Source organism: Homo sapiens, chromosome 4 (genome assembly GCF_000001405.40).
Source record: "Homo sapiens chromosome 4, GRCh38.p14 Primary Assembly".
NCBI classification, from domain to species: Eukaryota; Metazoa; Chordata; class Mammalia; order Primates; family Hominidae; genus Homo; species Homo sapiens.
Genome location: NC_000004.12, coordinates 83849234 through 83869780, shown reverse-complemented (window position 1 = coordinate 83869780; position 20547 = coordinate 83849234). Strand labels below are relative to the sequence as shown.

General features: G+C 39.3%; 3 annotated features.

Moving 5' to 3' along the window:
• Positions 13910-15109: an enhancer, noted in NCBI's record as "BRD4-independent group 4 enhancer chr4:84775825-84777024 (GRCh37/hg19 assembly coordinates)". NCBI's record gives its function as "activates an origin of replication core promoter dependent on BRD2, P300/CBP, MED14 and CDK7 cofactors, and independent of BRD4, by STARR-seq in HCT116 cells {active_cell/tissue: HCT116}" and the evidence as "EXISTENCE:reporter gene assay evidence [ECO:0000049][PMID:35650434]".
• Positions 18706-19317: an enhancer, noted in NCBI's record as "OCT4-NANOG-H3K27ac hESC enhancer chr4:84771617-84772228 (GRCh37/hg19 assembly coordinates)". NCBI's record gives its function as "activates a minimal SCP1, AML or CMV promoter by ChIP-STARR-seq in naive H9 embryonic stem cells {active_cell/tissue: H9 hESC(naive)}" and the evidence as "EXISTENCE:reporter gene assay evidence [ECO:0000049][PMID:30033119]".
• Positions 19318-19929: an enhancer, noted in NCBI's record as "OCT4-NANOG-H3K27ac hESC enhancer chr4:84771005-84771616 (GRCh37/hg19 assembly coordinates)". NCBI's record gives its function as "activates a minimal SCP1, AML or CMV promoter by ChIP-STARR-seq in naive H9 embryonic stem cells {active_cell/tissue: H9 hESC(naive)}" and the evidence as "EXISTENCE:reporter gene assay evidence [ECO:0000049][PMID:30033119]".

Below are 20547 nucleotides of genomic sequence, written 5' to 3'. Positions count from 1 at the left end.
GGTTCAAAACAATTAATTCATTATTGCTTCTGTGTGAAGAATGGACTGGTGGGAGGCAGTTTTGGAAACTGGAGGTGCCAGTTAGAAGACTATTTCAGAGTTCTAGTAAAAGAGAATTGAATGGACCAGGGTGGCAGCTGTAAAGCCAGAAGTGCAAATAATTCAAAATACATTTTCAAGGCAGATTTTATTTGTCATAACTTGTTAAGATCAGAATAAGATCAGCTTCAACCTGGAAGAATCTTTGTAAACCCATGAGTCTTATAACTGGCTTCATGGATAGTCTCTGTTCTCTCGTGTTGCACTTTTGTGAATGCACTGAATGTATTAATTTCTGAGGACTGCTGTAACCAATTACTACAGACTCGGTGGCTTCCAATAGAAATTTGTTCTCTACGACACTGGTAGCCATAAGTGTGAAATCAAGGTGTCAGCAGGGTTGGTTCCCTCTGGAGGCTCTGAGGTAGGATCTAGTCCATGCCTCTCTCCTGGCTTCTGGCGGCTGCAGGCAGTCCTTGGCATCCCTCGGTTGGTAAATGTATCACTCCAATCCCTGCCTCTGTCTTCACAGGGCCTTCTTCTCTATGTGTCTCTATGTCCCAAATTTTCCTCTTCTTTCTTTAATAAGGATATTAGTCATTTGATTTAGGATCCATTGTATGTCCAGAAGGATCTCTTCTCCAGATCTTAATTACATCTGTGAAGACCCTATTTCCAGATAAGTTCACATTCACAGGTACCAGAGCATAGGACTTGGACATATCTTTTTTGTGGGACACAGTTCAACCCACTACCCAGAACCTTTTATTTTTCTGTGTGTAATGTGAGAGTTACATCAAACCAAATAAAACCAAATTAAGTACTGGATTCCATTTACAAACCAAACTACTATACAAATGGTTATTACTTACATATTACAAAATTATTTCATCCATCTGAAGGGCAGATTTAACATAGTCAATATATTATTTTAACTATATGATTTTTTTCACAAAGATATTGTAATAACAATAAAAGGAGTTATATCACATTTGCATTTATCTAATATATAATATTAGCACTTGGGTGTAAATACATGCAAACCTATATAAATATATTCATATATAAATAAGTAACAGATATGGAAAGGTGGAAGGACAAGAGAGGGAGGACAGAGAGGGGGGATAAGAAAGAATGAGAGGAGAAAGGGGAAGGAAGAGAAAGGAAGAAGGGATAGAGAAAGGAAGGGAGGGAGGGAAATCCCTTTATGTATTATACACAATTTTCCTGTCTTGTTCAAACCAAAGCTAGATTTTCAGGTCCTAAAGAAATGGAGGCCATAGGCAAAGAGTTAAAAGAAACAAGAAGTTAATTTCATGCAACACTGAGCTTGGAGGTTTAATGATAATTTTTCATGCAATGTACCTCACAATCTAGTGATGTTGACACCATATTCCCCCTCATTTTGCACCTGAGGTTTACAGAGGTTACACAACTTGCCCAAGATCACGTGGTTGCCAAGAAAGTGGCAGACTTGGAATTTGAATTCAGGTTTGCCTGATAGTTGATCCGTGGTGCCTGATACCACTGTGATGTATCGCCAGGCTCCATTCCTGTTTATTACTTAAGCATTCTTTCCTTCATCCAATAAACATTTATTGGGTGCCTGAAGTCAAGTGATCTGAGTCTATATTCTTGATAGACTTGGATTTGGTTATATATTGGAACAAGAGGAATCAAAAATGACTCCTTATTTTTTGGCTTGATTAACTGTGCAGTTGTTCCACATCAAGGAGCTGAAGTTTACAGTGACTGGACTTTGTCATCATATCTGAGATGAGTACAGAGCTGTACTCTATCATGCAGAGCTCAAAAACAATCCCTCTCCTGCCTCCCCATACCTCCAACTGTGCATGCACACACACACACACTCCCCATGTTCATGATGCCTGGTCATTTCTAACCCCTTGTTTCTGAGACTACTCCTCCAATGATTTAGGCCCACAGAGATTTTCCCCTTCATATTAGAATGTTAGCTCTGGAAAGACCTTAAAGATCACCATCTCTGACTCCTTCATTTTATAGATGGGAAACTGAGAAAGATCCAGAGAGATAAATTTCACTGTTCAGGCTCACTCAGCTACTTATTGTCAAAACCAGAAATAGAGCACAAAAGTCTCTTGATTTCCAACCAAATTATCTTTCCTCTTAATCCAAGCTGACTTCTAAAATTCCCTTGCCTATATAGTCTCTCTTCTTCAACTAGAACTTTATGATAAAGTGTTTGGTCCTCTCATTTGTCTCCTCTGCACCTACTTTGCCTTTCTAGATAAGGTCAGAGACTGCGTCATCATTTGGCATTACACACAGTGCTGACTACATTACACAGGACTATTCAATACACTTAGGGGGTGGCTGATTGATTATGCTGTAGTTCCACATTTGCATACCTAACCTCTCATATTTTTAAGTCTACAGTCTGAATCTGCATAGCAGTCAGGTACATTTGGTTCTGGTCTGCTCTAAAGAGAAAGTAAAAACTTGTTCATTTTATATTTATTATTATAAATGCTATTAATATATCTGTTCAGCCTATCCTTTTTGATAGGCTGAGCAAATATATTAATATCATTTTTTTTCTATTTATTTTACCATCTCTGAACAAACTGGGCTAGCCTAGGGTCCTAGATTCTGTCTACTTGTCACTGAGTTCTGAACATCCCATTAGTGATCGATGACCTAATGCTTTTAAAATGCCTTCCAGGAAGGCTTCCTTATTGCCCACGCTGTCTCAGGAAGGAGGTGGGACAGTAGGTAGGGAGGGGAGTGGAGAAGTCTAAATTCACTGAAAACAAATTTTGCGTTTAGAAACAAGTGAGTCTTGGCTCAGTGTTCACTAGCATTTTAGGAACCCAGGCAGGATTAATCCTTCATTCATTCTCACTGATGTAAAAGGCTCATGCTTTTCATCTGTTCCTGATCTGACACCATACTGCCTTTTGCCTTGTTCCTGGACACACTTTAACAGCTCAAAGAATGCTGCCTCTGGGTTTCCAGGTAGAACCAGTGAGAAAAAACGCTGCTTCCTAAACTTGTCTCAGCTCAACTGTGATTGCCAGTCTCATTCCAGATCACCTATGACTCCCTTTGAAACCAAAACCATAGGTCCATCTCTCATTTGTTTTTGTGTTGCTGTTTCATATTTCCTGGATATTACTGGTGTCTAAATGCTCTGTACTAATGACTAGTTATGCATAAACTTCACTCCTTGAATATTTTCATAATTAGTATTTTAACTAGTTATGTTAATAACTAGATTCACACATCTGAGCATAAACTTCACCCCATGAATATTTTCATAATTAGTATTTTAACTAGTTATTTATGCTAATAACTAGATTCACATGTCTGTACTGCTTAGGGGTTACCAGATCTGACTTAGGAGTCATGCAGATCTGAGCAAAGCATCGGTCTTCTATTTGTCTGTGTGACACTGGGCAAAAAGTTTACCCTCTCCAAGCCTCTGTTTCTTCATCCCTCGTTTAAAGATTAAAATGATCTCCACATAGGGTTGTTGTGAGAAATAAAAGATTTAACACATATGAACCTTTTCGCATAGTGCCTGACATATAGTGATCCTTTGATAATCACCGGCTGCTCTTAGTATTACCAGTGCTATTGTTATAAGGCAATAAAATGTTCCTAGAAGTTATAATAGTGATGGACAGAATCAGAACAAGAGTTTCTTCAGTGACTTTCTGATTTAGAGGAGGAAACAAAAGAAACTCTGGGAAATGCTGGAAACTGTCTTGGTGCGTTCCCCACCCTGTGGGTGGCATGACCCAGTGAACAGGCTAATTGAGCAGCAATCCCAGATAACTTCAGGAGATGATGAATTTTGTGAGCATTATTTGGAAACTTGATCTTGCCAACAAAAATAAGCAGGGGTCTCTTACAAAAAGAGTTTAAAATGTGGTCACTAAGCAGCATTTTGAACAGCAAATACAGATGGACAGTAATATTTACGGTCAATTTACCGGAATCAGGTATCAGATGACCTCTGACACTAGCCACTGCTTACTAAAGAGCTAATTAGCTGTAAAAATGAGGTGACAAGTCAATTGTATCAGCACAAAGGACGAATTTGTCATGTGGGATTTCGCTGGTAGTAAGGCCTGCCATTACAGCTTCTGGGTGGCTACTTTGCCTACCAAAGCAGCTAACTTTCCCTGAAGGGAAGAATGAGGTGGGAGTCAAGATTAAAGGAAACCCAGGGGTGCTCACATCAGGGTCAGGATGTGGCTCAAACAAGAACCTCTTGGGCCCAGAGATACAAGGTTTCATGGTCTGATAGGTGAGAGAATGCCTGCCCCATCAGGACTGTTGTTTAATTACTATTAGAAACCTGGCTTTCTTTGACTACTGATAGAAATGCTGTTACTCACTGTGTTTCCCCCTCTGCCTTGGCCAGCAGAACTAAATGTTGTTTTCTCCAATGCATAATGCTTAAATTCATGTGTGTTCACTGAGAATGCTGGAAACCACAGAAAACTTAAAAGAAGGCGGGGGGCAGAAAACATCTCTAAATCCCCCATTCTTAATAATCAGGATTTTAACATCTTGACATTTGGTATAGCTCTTTCTTATAATACCTTAGTAAAAAAAAATTGAAATCAGATTGTCTATACAGTTTATGGTCTTCCTTAACTTCACATTGTATCAAAAAACAGATCTGTATGTTAATTACTATTTTTAGTAATAGGATTTAAACAATTTTATGCTATTCCACCATATGGACAGATCATAATTTATATAATTTCTGTGCTTCCAGGTTCTCCTCCAGCTCTCAGAGGTCACTCTTCTTTTAATGCTGACATAACAATCGTCTAATTCCCCAAACTGCTGCGCAGGATATTCAGATTTCCTTACCTAATAACTAGCTGGGGACTCCCAAGGATGCGTACGCGTTCCTAAAAACATGTCCTGTGTGTCATTTGTCAGCATAGCCTATGCTCACCATGTTAGCTGGCTCCTAACCATTGCTCTCTGTTCTGACACAAATCATCGCTCAAAAACATCTGGGCTCCACATCTCCTTGAAGTAACACAGCCATGGCTACACAGGCTAACAGGAGAGGAATCAACGCTGGGTAGAGAAGACATGCTCCTCTATTCCTTTGTCCTAACATGAACACAGGCCCCTCCCTTACATCCCTGAAGTCCAGCTAAAACTAGGCTGTGACATTACACAGAATTTTAATGAAAGCTTATGGCTAACGTGGGTACAATACAGAATGATTTACTACCAGAAGAGTTTCTCTAGGCTACTCCACACGGGAGGAGCCACCAGTAGAAATTTCTAGACACCTCCATCCCCAAAGTCTTGACCCCACCTCCTCATTTGGCTTCAGAGGAAGAGTTATGTTTTCTCTCCCTCATTCTAAGACACCCTAGTCTCTTCCACAGAATAATTGAAAGTGGAAACTCCCTTTTTTTTCCAGAGAAAATTATCATCCTCATTCAGAGGGTGTAACCTGACCTCCATGGTCCAAACAAAGTGACTATAAGAGTTGGCCATGTCTTTCTTAAAGTCAGGATTATGTATGTTAAGTATCACTGTGCCAACACCAGGCCAAATGTTTCACATTTTTTTTTTCAGCAAGAAGTGAACCTATAAGTTCTCCCTGGTTTGTTCTGCACACCAGCTCCTGAAACAAAATATTTAGACAAAACACACACCCATCTCTCAAGGACTGCAAGAGTATTGAAGTACCAACCAGATGAAATTTATATTAAAGTAGAAAGTAGTTCTGTTGATTCGTTCACTGTCTACCTACTAACCTCCCCCTGCCATTCTTCAGCAATTTACACAGGTAAAATATTTTACATCTCAGTCTGAAGCGTTTGCCTTCAAGTTCATGGAGACTTCACAGTTTTTTTCCAAGGGCAATTGATAAATTCTCTATCTCCACGTGATGCCACTAGTTCTAAATAATAACTGTAACAAAAATTGAATGATACTTCTGCAGTGTCAAAAACATTATTGCTGTGGGTTCAATTGTGTCCCTTAAACAGATATGTCCAGGTCCTAAATCCTAGTATCTGTAAACGTGACCTTATCTGGAAATAGGGTCTTTGCAGATGCAGTTAAATTAGGACGAGGTCACACTGGATTCTAATGATCCCTTATCCAATGACTGATGTCCTTATAAAAAGAGAGAAATTTAGGCACAGACACAGAGGAGAGAGGGCCATGTGAAGAAACAAGTAGAGACTGGAGGGATGCATCTACAATGTAAGGAACACCAAGGATTGCCAGCAACCACCAGAAGCAAGGAGAGAGACATGGAACAGAGAACCCCTGGAAGGAAACAAACCAGCCAATGCTTGGGTTTCAGACTTCTAGCCTTCAGAACTGTAAGAGAAGAAATTTTGATTCTTTTAAACCACTTATTTGGGATAATTTGTTATGGCAACACTAAAAAGCTAATATAATTCTTATTTATTTAACCCACTGTTTCTCAGTGGGGGTGAGTTTGTTCTCCAGGGGACATTTGGCAATGTCTGGAGAAGTTTTTTGGTTGTCACGATGGAGGCAATGCTGCTGGCATCTGGCATCTGGCATCTTGTGGGCAGAGAGCAGGGACGCTGCTAAGGATCCTACAATACACAGACCCCCCCTATAAAAAAGAACGACCCCTGTCTAAAACGTCAATAGTGCCAGCACTGAAAAGCTCTGACTTAATCTATCCCTTGTATTTGGAGATTTTCTTTCCCTTTTTTTTTTCTGCCATAAATAATGCCGCAGCGAACACCATGGCGCACAATTACTGGTCAACTAATAGTATAAATTTCTTTCATTTCATTTCTTAGAGAACTGTGCATACATTTTTCTTGTTTTAGTGGACATCTTGCCATTTCTTGTCAACCTATTTGAATACTTTTTTGAGGCAGATAAATTATAAACAATAAGTACATAAAAGAATGAAACATCACTAACATTTCAAAGGTAATAGAAGCCTCAGTGCCTCTTACAGTTACCTTTTTATTTGTTCTAATATTCCACACAGCACGGAGACATTGTGTAAGAGTGTTTCTGTGTGTGTGTGTGTGTGTGTGTGTGTGACGGAGTCTCTGTCACCCAGGCTGGAATGCAGTGGCGCAATCTCGGCCCACTGCAACTTTCACCTCTCGGTTCCAAGCAATTCTCATGCCTTAGCCTCCCGAGTAGCTGGGACTACACGTGCCTGCCACCAAGCCTGGCTAATTTTTGTACTTTTAGTAAAGACGGGGTTTCACCGCATTAGCCAGATTGGTCTCGAGCTACTGACTTCACGTGATCCACCCGCCTCAGCCTCCCAAAGTGCTGGGATTATAGTCATATTGTCTTAAATATTCAAGTAATCCACCCACCTCAGCCTCCCAAAGTGCTGGGATTACAGGCGTGAGCCACCATGCCCAGCAAAAGTATCATTCTCATAACAGCTGATATAAACAATATGCTATTCCAGGATTTAAAAAAATCTGTGAATGTCACAATAACAAAGACTTGGAACCAACCCAAATATCCATCAATGATAGACTGGATAAAGAAAATGTGGCACATATACACCATAGAATACTATGCAGCCATAAAAAAGAATGAGTTCACGTCCTTTGCAGGGACATGGATGAAACTAGAAACCATCATTCTCAGCAAAATATCACAAGGACAGAAAACCAAACACCACATGTTCTCACTCATAAGTGGGAGTTGAACAATGAGAACACATGGACACAGGGAGGGGAACATCACACATCAGGCCTATCGGGGAGTGGGGGACTAGGGGAGGGATAGCATTAGGAGAAATATCTAATGTAGATGACAGGTTGATGGGTGCAGCAAACCACCATGGCACCTGTATACCTATGTAAGAAACCTGCACGTTCTGCACATGTATCCCAGAACTTGAAGCATTAAAAAAAAAAAAAAAGTCATATGGCCAAGCAAAAAAAAAAAAAAAAAAAAATCTGTGAATGTAACAAAGTTATGTTTTAAAATAGAAAATTTTAATTTTTTAAATGAAATAGAATTTGATCTAGCCATTGGGAAGACTTTTATACTAGAAGGTACATAACATTGTTCATTTTAGCAATGGAGAAAAGAGGTGATTAAATTGATATCTGAGCCTCAATGTCCATGACCTTACCAGGTCTTTTTCTATTAGATCCCGGGAAAACCCTGCTGCTCAGGTGTGATGGTACTCTCCTGCAAGTATTGGGCTGCCAAACAGTACATCTTTATATAGATCACTACTTGGTCCTCTCCTCCTCCCTAACCCTGTCCTGTTGAGTCAGTCAAGGGTAACTGAGGGTATGAGGATGATCGCTGAGACAATGCAGAGCAGAAATTCTGGCTCAATCAATATTCCGCAGTTATCTCTTGCAGCCTTGGCCCCAGCTGGGAACTCGCACACATCAGGCTCCTGGGAGGTTTCTCAAAGGTTCTCTTCCATGCTTCAGTGGAAATGTCAGAATACACTCCTGGGTTATGTGCCAGAGGATGTTACCTGAGGCCTTGAACTAGAAAATCAATAATCCAGGGACACTGAGGATGGAAGATAAAGTAGCTAACTGAAATTTAATAAAAATTATATGTATGTATCTGACTTTTAGCAGACTATAAAATAAATTTAACCCTGGCAGCCTAGAAGGAAAAGTGAAAAAATATCTAACTAAAAACAATCATTTTGTTAGTTCTAATCTTCTGTTAATACTATTTAAGACAATTCCTTTGGTGGTTCAAAATTGGGACAGAGATATAGATTTTACTTATTGTAACACCCATCAGAATAATAGTCATCACTGAAATAAGACCAAACAGTGGCTCTGGAGGTGTAAACAATTTAGAAAGTCAAATGAAAATATACTTGAACCTCAAGGAAAGAAAATTCTAGTACAGTAGCCCCAGATCTGTGGCTTCACTTTCTGAGCTTTCAGTTACCCAGGATCAGTTGCTTCTGAAATATTAAATGGAAAATTCCAGTTGACAGAGGGAGGCCATGTTCACATAACTTTTATTAAAGCATATTGTTATAATTGTTCTCATTATTATTAATAGTTATTGTGTTGATCTCTTACTAGGTGCCTAATTTATCAATGACACTTTACCATTTGTTTATATAGGAAAAAAACATAGCCTATATAGGGTTCCGTACTATCCATGGTTGCAGGCATCCACAGGGGTTCTTGAAACACATCCCCTGCAGATGAAGGGGGAGTATTGTAATCAATTTCTCAAAGCTACTCACAACAGGTGAAAACAGAGCTATATCATAGCACCAGTTCTTTGGGACACAGCACAGTTGTTTGTTTTACCGCACATTCCAGGCACCATGTTGCTATTGCCATTGAATCTCCCTAAGAAGTCACTGTGGCATGTGGCTGAGAGCCAGTAAAAAAAAAAATTAATCACTCCAGAATGCCAGTAGATCCCATTTTAAGCAACCTTGAAATAAGCAAATCAACTAACATAGTAAATATTTGTGGCTACGACTTTTATTACCAGAGGACAATTTACTTCAAATAAGTATTCTCCACAGATTTTCTTTAAATAGCAGATATCCAAAGTGCCTAAATGTTTGTTTACTATCCTTCAGGACCCCGAGTTCATAGGCAGGAAATATAAAGAGCTGACTAAAGATTAGTAGAAACTGAAGTTGAAGCACTTCTGAAATAATAATTATGAAAAAGTAATTACATTAAATTGACTCAGTGTTTTGGAAACATGCCAAATGCTTAAAAATGAATAATGCCTTTTACCTTCTCCTTCAATATCTGTTAGCCAAAATGACAAAGAGTTGAATTGAAGATGTTACTCCTGCTGAAAAATCGGATATCACAGACTCAGCGCTAAACTTAAGTCTATTCAATTGGCTCATTTTACAGTCTCAGCTCTAGAAAGTTTAAATGATTTGCCACCAGGTTACCAGACTTCCAGACCATTTCTCCTATCATTCATTTATTTTTATTCAAATTACACAGCAAATAACATTCTTGTGCAGAAAATTTGGAAAATTCCTGAAAGCACAAATAAAGCAAAAATTATGCATAATCCATGTACTCCAAAGATAATCCTTACTAATATCTAAATAATTTAACTATGCCTTTTTACAAAATTGGAACCTTACTGTGGATATTGTTTTGTAAGCTGCTTTTGTTTCCACGTAATAATATACTTGAACTTTTCCATGGCATTGAATATTATTTTACCATATCACTGTTTAAAACTACATAGTATTTCAGATTATGGATACAGAATAAATTATTGTAGGAAATCTAGGTTATTTTCAATATTTTATTATTAGAAATACTGTGCTCAGGAGATATAAATCTACATGCACATTTCTATTTCTTTGGAATATATTATTAAAAGTAAAATTGCTGGTTTAATGGAAAAACACTGTAAACTCCCAAGTAAAGCTCCCTCCCAAGTTGTATCAGTACTAACTTCTGACACACTCACATCAGCAATAGTCATTATATTTTTAAAACTCTTTTTCTAATTAATAAGCAAAGAAAATGGTAGCTTGCTGATTTGCATTTATTTGATTACTGGAATTTGATTTTATTTTCTTGAAGTGTATTGACCATTTAAATCTTATATTTTTTAAATCGTCCAAGGCCATTGTATCCACTTTCCAACTTGCTGTGTGTGCAAGGAATTAGGATTTTGTTTCAGGGTTGTTTTTGTTTACTTTTGTTTTGTTTTCGTTACTACATGCTATGGCTTCTCTAATAAATAAAGCACGAGGGATTACTTTATAATAAAAAAAAAAAGTTAAACAATTTTACAGACTTACTTATTGGTGGCAAAGCAGGGCCTAGGAACCAGAACTTGTCACTCCAAGAACAATGAACCAATATCCTCAATTTTGACCCCCAAAAGCTTCAACATTAACAAGTTTCAACAAAGCAATCACTTCTGCTTTATTTGTTGGAGAAACTGTTGTAGTATATAATTAATCACTGCCTAGATCTTCCCTACCCAACAAAAAATATAACAATCTATATGCTCATAATTTATGTATCCCATTGCAAGTGAAAGTTTCGGTGGTCATATTGTTGTCTTAGAGAAAAGCTAACAATTCCTGTGGGCTTTCACTCCTACAAACACAAGTTCAGAAAAAAGGTGACTCCGCACCACCTGAGCTCACACTTTCTTGTTTTGACCATCCTGCCTATTCCCAGCAAGATCTACTATAACTAGAATCATGCTCAGGAGATGTCTGAGTGGCTGGGCAGCAAGTCAACCCCAAAAGAAATCTTCGTATCTTCGTACCACTGGACAACATAAGCATATTTCACTCTCTTCCCCGCCCACCCCCCACTCCTTTTAGAAGCTTTCATGTTATTTTATGATGTGACTCTTCCCCATCATTCTGTATTTTTCTGAGCAGTGAACAGGAAAGACATAGCGAGTCATATATGCTAAATAAATATGGCCAGTTCTTAGATCTAAAAGACAGAGGCAGATAAAGAAAGAAGTCATCACTATTTAAAAACACAAACAAACCTTAGCAGCAGAGCACTTAACTGGTAGCCTTTGCTCAAGTGGAAGTCTCTTTGTTTCAGCACAGCGAATGGATGCCAGGCAGATGTTGAGTAAATTTGTAATAATAACTCATTTGAACATACGAGAAGCCCAATATTGAAAAAATTAAATATGGATAAGAGATCTCTCTATTTAAATTTCTCCTGACACTGCTGTCCCACGCTACCTGGAAAGCTACAAAACTAGAATAGAATTTCCCTAGAGCTCAAATATGATTCTCTCCTTTGTGCCCCAGAAAGTAAAATTAAGAGGTGGGGAGGAAGAGAGAGTCGAGTCAGCAACTTCAATCACTTTTATCCAATTCTTCCTTGTCCTGCTTTATACTCTCCATAGCCACAAAAAGCACCAAATACACATGGTAGGAAAGCAGGAATTAAAGTAGTATCCTGCAAAACACTTTATAATATATGAGAAATGTGATTGTGAAATAACAAATCAAAATGTTCTCTAGTAATCATTTTATATGCATATCTTATGATTGCATGATATTTGTACATATTTTCTCTCTCAAATGTTTACATGATTCTTGAAATTGTCTTTTTATTCACTGTAATCTTGCACCTACATATCACCTAAAATTGCTTCATTTTATGTAAAGCTTTCTTTAAGTGGAAAAGGAAAGTAACAAATTGAGATGATATTACCAGTTTTAGTTGGGAATAGTCATTTAAATATGAAAAGTGAAGTGGAAAATTAAAATAATCACCTAGGGTATCCAAAGTAGGGAAAAGTCACTTACAACTCAGATATTGCCATGGGTTTTCACATTTTCGTGGATAGAGATGGCCTTAATTGTTTCTCCAATGTGACTTCGAATAGAGGATAATTGAATAGGTTGGCATGTCTTGCGGAAGGTATTTTAAACCTGTCTCAATAGCTTCTTCAATGAGGAAAAAGTGAGGAGGCAGTTTTTCCAAAGGCAGGTGCATTCATTTTAGTGAGGGCAGACAGAAATAGGGCACATTTGTTGTCTAAGCCTTCCTTCCCAAACTTGTTTTTAAGGTTTTATGGCAAGAAAACCTGTGCTTGTCTTCTGCTATTGGGCTTTCAGATGATGTTTCTAAACAGAAAAGAAGCCTCTGGCATTTTTTACATTGCAACCAGCAGTTGCTTGGCTGCACTATCAAAGCAGGCCCAGCAGATCCTCTTGAATGGAGAATCTAAGACCCACCACAGACTCTGACTGCACTAATGAACTAAGAGCACAGATTGCGTGGGGGCTCCAGTAAGGCAGCAGGGGGACATAAAATCCCATGGAGATGGGATCAGGCTGCAGCCATAAAGAATCAACTTGTCTTCGTAGGTGCTGTAAGTTCCAACATCTGCTGGCCATATAAAACAAAGTGGCTAATGGATGGTATGAAAAGGTAAATATACCATGAAGAGTTATTTTGTTACTCTTCTTGGCACTGGTCATATCAAGGTTTGGTGTTTTTTTATATTAAGCAAACTTATATGTAAATTTTCTTTAGCAAATAGCAGAGTCAAATGAATTACTTTCCTAATTTATTTTAACATAATAATACCCAGGAGTAATAGAGTAAAATGTTTTAAACAAGAGCACATCTTAAAACAGCAATCCTGATGAAACTAATGGGACTTGTCTCCTAATGGAAGATTCAGCAAAACAAGGAAACTGTATCTACAGATCCAGGCAGCACTTAAACAAAAACTCAATGGCAAACGTCCACAGTTATTCATGGAGAAGTCAGTGAAGTAGTTAAGGACCCAGGCTTCCGAGTTAAGAGGATCTGGGTTCAAATCCCCAGTCAGGCGTTTACCAGGTATATAACTACTCCGAGATTCCATTTCCTCTCTATATAAAATGGGAATAAAAATAACTTCCTCACGGAACTGTAGGCAGATTAAAATAAAACATTTGAATATGCAGAACAGAACTAAAACAAAGTGAGCATTCAATAAATGGCAGCATATTATTATTTCTACTACTATTGACTATTTATACCCTAGTTTGTCTCAGGATACTTTTAAGGTGGCCTATAAAAATAACTCACACAATGCAAAATAGCACAAATCCAAAGTAGATGGGGGAAAAGCTATCAAAATTAGGGAATGTTTTAGGCAAAGAATTCATTTTTGCTCTGTGGTTCCATCAGATTAAAATGTGTATTTTTTCTTCATGAAATACTCATCAAATACACAGAAACTGAAACCAAGGCACAACTTTGCAACAATAAAAAGGACTCTTGGGAAGACTAAAAACTTCATTTTTATTTCACTTCAGGTCACAGACTCTTGCTCTTGCTCCCATGAAAATACCGGTTATCAGGAAACAGGCTACCATAAACTTTAGTGGCTGGGGCACAAGTACCAAGAGCCAGAATAATATGGCCTTAGCTGGTTCTTTTCTAAAAGAGCCATACAAACTTCCCTTGCACTTTGCACTCCAGTCTTTCACCCATCCCTTCCCTGATCTCCACGCTTAGCAGGGTGTGTAACACCACACAGTCACTCAGTGAGACCTCAAAAAATAAGATCCTATAATAAATTTTGTCTTAGAAATGATACACTACATCACTTTCAGTGTCAGATCTCTAGGGAGGAAAGCATCTTGGCATGTAAATTTACACAAGTCTACTTTTGAATATTAATTACGTATCGCACTACCTCCTCACATAATTATTTTTACTATAAATTTGGAGCCATTACCCAGCAAGCTGTAGGATTAGCATTTTAAAGACTTGCTGGAGATGGGAGATCAACCAATAAACATACTCTTGGCCCCCCATTGAGAGATCCTTTAATTTCTGATGCTCAAAGTATATGTTTATTCTGACAGACTGAGAACTGGGAAGGCTTATACCACAGAGATGAGAAGAAAAAGGTTTCCCCTTGAATGCGAAGTCCAGCTGGATGACTATGGTTCCCTGGAATTCACTGTGGAGGAGTATCCCTGACTGGTGTTTAAGATCAACGGAAAAGAATTCTGCGATGAGACAGTGACGTCTGTCATAGGCAAAGGAACGAGGAAGTGGGGCATGGTGGCAGATATTTGCCTTTCCTGCTATAACCACTGGACCTACAAAGCACTTATTACCAATTTGAAACCATAGAGAGTTGCCAAGTGTCATTTTAAATGCTAAGCCAAGCAGTTCCTCCAAACCTGTAGACCCCGACACTCTTTGATGCTGTTATCCCCACTAAAAAACAGTACAGGTGAGTCTCAGACTGATGTTCAGTCAAAACAGTCTGCTAAAATTACTATTATGCACAGGAAGTTCCCCCGAGAAAGCACCAGAAGGTGGACAGAAAGGCCAGTTAAGAGGGGAAGGTGCTACTGTCCTCTCAGATGTGCTTTCTTCTGTAGAGCAAGGAATATAGCAGAATACATCTTTGGCAACTGAAGCAAAGAAGATGTCCGATTCAGAGTGGTTTTGTAGAGTTAGTCCTGAAGAGAAATGCTTCCTTTTAAGCAAATCTATCACTACCACTCATATCAGTCTGGCCTAGCCTGACAATAGCTGTGCCTACAACCACAGCTAGGGAGTGTCTCCACCTCTACCTCCCATTGCCCAGCATCTTTAGGATAACTATGGAGGCTAATTCATAGCCTGGGTTCAGCTTGGCAGCCCTTCCTAACATCCTTAAGAACCACAAAAGGTTGGGAGCAAAATCCTTGTCATCTTTTCCTGCAGTTTAGACTGTGTGTGACTCGGCTCACATGGATGGTTTTTTGTTGTTGTTGTTGTAATGAGTAGGAGACAAGGGAGTCCTGAGGCTCGAGGTCAAAATGAAATATTTTTCTTTCAAAATAGTCATTGAAGGGAAGAATACTGCGTAGTTTTAAAATTGTATTCTTATTCAAGATTGCTTCTTAAAAAATGGCCATACAATAATTTGGGTGTACATGAAGGTTCACATATTGTATGATTCCATTATATGTAAAATATCCAGAATAAGTAAATCTATGGAGACAAAAAGTAATTTTGTAGATGCTAGGCACTAGGGGAAGAAGAAAATAGGGAGTGACTGCTTAATGGGTGTATCTCATTTTGGGAGTAATGAAAATGATTTAGAACTCAATAAAAGTGATGGTTGCACCATATAATGAATGTTCTAAATGCCCTGACGTGTACACTTTAAAATAATTAATTTTATGTTATGTAAACTTGCGAATTTCACTTCAATTTATTCAAAAAGATAATTTGTGGGGAACTTTGGTGAAATTTGACTATGAATGGATATTAAATGGCATTATGGAATTATTAATTTCTTGCATATGATCATGGTATTGTGTTACACAGTAGAAAGATATTTTTTATTCTGTTTTCAAAGGTAAGTGCAGAAATCCTTAGAAGTATCATGAAATCTGCAGCTTACTTTCTAATAGTTCAGCAAAAGTCATCCATTTCTATACAGAAAGAGATTAAAGCACATAGCAAAAAATATGATTGTTGAATCTAAGTGGAGGCTACGGGGCTGCTCATTGTATTATTCTTTCAACATTTCAATATCCTTAAAATTTTGCAGAGAAATATTGGGAGAATTTTTTTTCGATGATCTCCTGAAATTCAGAGTAAAGTTCAAGGCTCACATTAACTAACTGATTTATTAGTTCATTAATTAATGCAAAACATTGTTGAGCACCTGGTAGATTCCAAGTGCTGTGCTAGGTAGTCCAAGTATAATAATGAACAAAACAGATGTAATCTCTGCTCTCATAAAGCTTGCAGCCCAGGGAGGAAACCCATAAATAATTAGGCAGCTCAGTATGAGCTATGATGGGAAGATGCAAGATGCTAAGAGAATGCAGAGGAAGAAAGACAAAAGCTAAGACCTGAAGGACCTTATTTAGAGTGCTATAGAAAAAAACATTCAATGATATTTGTTAAAGCATAGTAGGGCAGACTTTATCAGGACCCTGGCAATAGATATAGGGACCGTGGCAATGGGATTTTGCAGTGGCGAAGAGAGATTGGATTCAACTTCAAATACAGCATGGACAAATGGTAATTTATGACCAAGAAGCAGGGTGGGGCTTAGTGGACAGAAAATTACTAAGAGAAAACATCAGGCGTGAGGTATGTTCTGGCTAAACTGACCTAATAGGATTCTTGCTGAAGAAAGACCAGGGCAATCAGATGTCACCCGGGAGATGATGGAGGTTGAAGAACCCAATAAGATAGCAAGGGGATCCGATATTGAAGATGGAGGATTCTCACTAAACTGACTTAGCAGCGTTCTTTGCTAAAGCTGGATTTTACAAGAAAGTGCACAGATGGGCCTAGGAGAAGTTTCAAGAAGCTAACTAAAGTTTGGTCAAACAAAAAAATCTTTGTAAAGTCAACCAAGTAAACAGAGAGAAAGAATATTCCAGGCAAACCCATAGGGTGAAGGCCTAGAGGGGAGATTCTGGGCCAGAGGCTGCAAATCAAAATCCCTGCAGAAAGAGCCAGACAGCATAAATGAATGAAAACCAGAGACAACCCCATTTTTAAAGGGTCATCAAGTCTATTGTGGGTACACCACTGAACTCCAGTCAACAGAAAGCCAGGAGGTGTGTAGTGGGGGGGATGGGGGGTGGATGAGAAAAATCACGGACCAGTGAGGTCAGGTGATCACCCCCAGTCCCAGTTCAGAGTACTTTCCCCTTTCCTATCTTGCTTTTGGAAGTGTAGACCTTTCCTAAAGAAGAGGAGTCGGAGCAGCCAAAACTATGTTCAAGGCATTAGAAAATCACCAGGACTGGGTGAATAACCATGACCATGACAATTAGCCAGGCACAGATCTATACCTGTACTCATGCAATCTGGGGCCTTACTACTATGCATATTTTTCATTTAAAAAAAATACAATTGGAGAGAGAAGCATAAGCACAGAGTGGCAATTCCTAGAGCTGTAAATCTTCAGTATATTCTAAGTTAAATTGATTGTCCTCCTGGAGCTACTTAAACATAATCACATAGCAAAATGATGAGAGGGCTCAGTCTTCAGTTTTCTTTTGTTTTGTTTGCCTGACTGTAGCCAGACTGTTGCTGATTCACATTAGAGACATGAGGAAAAAACCCTAACTTCCTTTCTCCCCTATTTTCACCGTAGGGCAGACAGAGGAGGAGAAGACAAGAAGGTGAAGTTTTAGGAAAATAGAATACTTGAGAAACCTTGAAATTAATATGGTGTTTGGCCTTTTGGCAATAAATAAATTAGGCTAAACAGCTTTGAGTTACCCTTTTTCCAAGGCTCAGTAGGGGTTAACATCAAGGAAGCTGGAGAACTTGGCAGAATGGGAAGTGCCCAGCACTGTGTTTAAGATTTCAGTCGGGGAGATCTGAGGGGTTTCTGCAAAATCCATGACAGCCTCCGGTGCCCTGAGAGACGCCAGGATATCCATGAAGACTTGGAGTGCCCACTTTACAATTAGAGCCCTAGAAGAAAATACTCCACTCTTTCTATCTTGAAACACATCTCTTCGTGTTATTTTATTCTATTCTAGGGCCTGAGAAGAAGCCTGGCTGCTAATTCACAGCTCCAGCCCTTTGAAGTGCCATTGATATTCCAAACTAGGGGAGCCTCCCGCATCATAATGGAATCTTCAACCCGCCCCGGGCTATACTACAAATAAACTTGTTCCAGCGAAATCTGCAAGCAGGCCCTGAGCACCAACGCCAGCCGACCTCTGAGAAAGCAGCTTGGGCAGCATAAGCTTTGCAAAGGAAAATAAAATCCTCAGCATGGAGTCTCAAACAAGAAAAATAGTGAGATATTTAAACCTGACCATTTCTTTTTAAAGACTTGGGTGTTCTTCAGAAAGGGAATTTCCCTCCCACCCCAGAAGGGTCCAAAGTGTTACTCATATTATTTACAGAGCTTTGAAGTGTGCCTCCAAAGTTTGAGTTCAGCTCTGAAGAATGTGAAGGTCAAATCATTTTCCCTTTCTGATGAAGGAAGGCTGTGAATTTAATACCACAATTTATTCAAAACAAGGAAATACACTGAGGCACTCTCCACTATTAATGCACAACAGTAGACGGTTGGAACCATCTCATACTCCAAAGAGTTTATATGGTTTGGCCAACAGTGGTGATACATTTAATGAGCCTCTGGTTAATCCATTCCTACCAGACTCAGCACCTGTAAAATGCAAGACACTTTGCTTCTAATAATAGGAATTGAGTTAATTTATTTAAACAATGTTAGAGTCATCATTTTCTAAAAGTAAAATAATTAAACATACATTCCTATAGTATGTGTATATTTTATAAAAACTGGAGGTTAAATAGCACATCTGGGGCATCTGGCTTTTCCTGGTAACCCTCCAGGTGACCTCTCTTTTTAAAAGTGGCCTTTTGAGCTTTATTATCTTAACAAGAACCCCCATTTATATAGCTGCTTTCTTTATGGAGCCTGAAGTGCTTTGTTGACCTTGGAATGCCCTTCATGCTTAGGAGGATGTTCTCCCTGGCCCACAGAGCTGACGAGACATTTAGAGGCCAGGAACCAAAAGGCTTGGCTGCAGGCAGTCAGTGGTGAATGTACGTCCAGAACTGTTCTCTCAGCTGGAATGATGCATAATATTTTAGTCTACGGGACCCAGCAGTGTGCTGTCACTACACACTTGAAGAGGCTACAAGGAGTCCAACGTTCTGAGTCAAGTCTGTGCTCTGTCACTTACTGGCTGGTAACCATAAGCACATAGCTCAAATTCCTGTAACCTCCTCTTCCCCACCTGTAAAATGGGATTAATAATTGTCAGGCCTCTGAGCCCAAGCCAAGCCATCGCATCCCCTGTGACTTGCACGTATAGGCCCAGATGGCCTGAAGTAACTGAAGAATCACAAAAGAAGTGAATATGCCCTGCCCCACCTTAACTGATGACATTCCACCACAAAAGAAGTGTAAATGGCCAGTCCTTGCCTTAACTGATGACATTACCTTGTGAAAGTCCTTTTCCTGGCTCATCCTGGCTCAAAAAGCTCCCCCACTGAGCACCTTGCGACCCCCACTCCTGCCCACTGAGCACCTTGCGACCCCCACTCCTACCCACCAGAGAACAAATCCCCTTTGACTGTAATTTTCCTTTACCTACCCAAATCCTATAAAACGGCCCCACCCTTATCTCCCTTCGCTGACTCTCTTTTCAGACTCAGCCCGCCTGCACCCAGGTGAAATAAACAGCCATGTTGCTCACACAAAGCCTGTTTGGTGGTCTCTTCACACGGACGCGCATGAAAATAATACCTACCTCATACATCTGTCATGTAACACTTTAGTGTTCTTCTATATTTGCATAGCTGTATCCTTCCATTAGTTTGTATAGAGCTGACTTAGTATTTTTGGTTGAATAAATGTTGAATGACCTGGCATTGTGTTCATAGCTTTACTTATTGTATTTAATTCTTACTATAACCACCTGGGCTAGGTACAATTATTAGAAGACATGACAAGGTGATAGTTAAAACAGTTAAGAAACTTGCCTGAGTTCATGAACTAGTTGCAATTGGGATTCAAATTAAGGAGGGCGGGTGTAGTGTCTCACACTTGTAATCTCAGCACTTCGGGAGGCTGAGGTGGGTGGATCACCTGAGGCTGGGAGTTCGAGACCAGCCTGGCCAACATGGTGAAGCCCCATCTCTACGAAAAATTAACCAGGCATGGTGGCAGGCAACTGTAATCCCAGCTACTCGGGAGGCTGAGGCAGGAGAATTCCTTAAACCCAGGAGGCAGAGGTTGCAGTGAGCCGAGATGGCGCCATTGCACTCCAGCCTGGGCAACAAGAGTTAAAGTCCGTCTCAAAATAAAAAAACAAACAAATAAGTAAAGTGCTCTGCCTGTAAAGCCTGTGGTCTTGACCAGGATATCATCTTATTCTTGGCCATCTTAGATCTTGACATATACAGTAGGCATATAAATAAATGATAGTGATGTAATATACTAAGAAGACTTGATAAATTGCACCTTATGGTGATCTTGTGTTTTTCTGGCCATTTTCAATGAACCTGGTCCACTTCGGGAAGC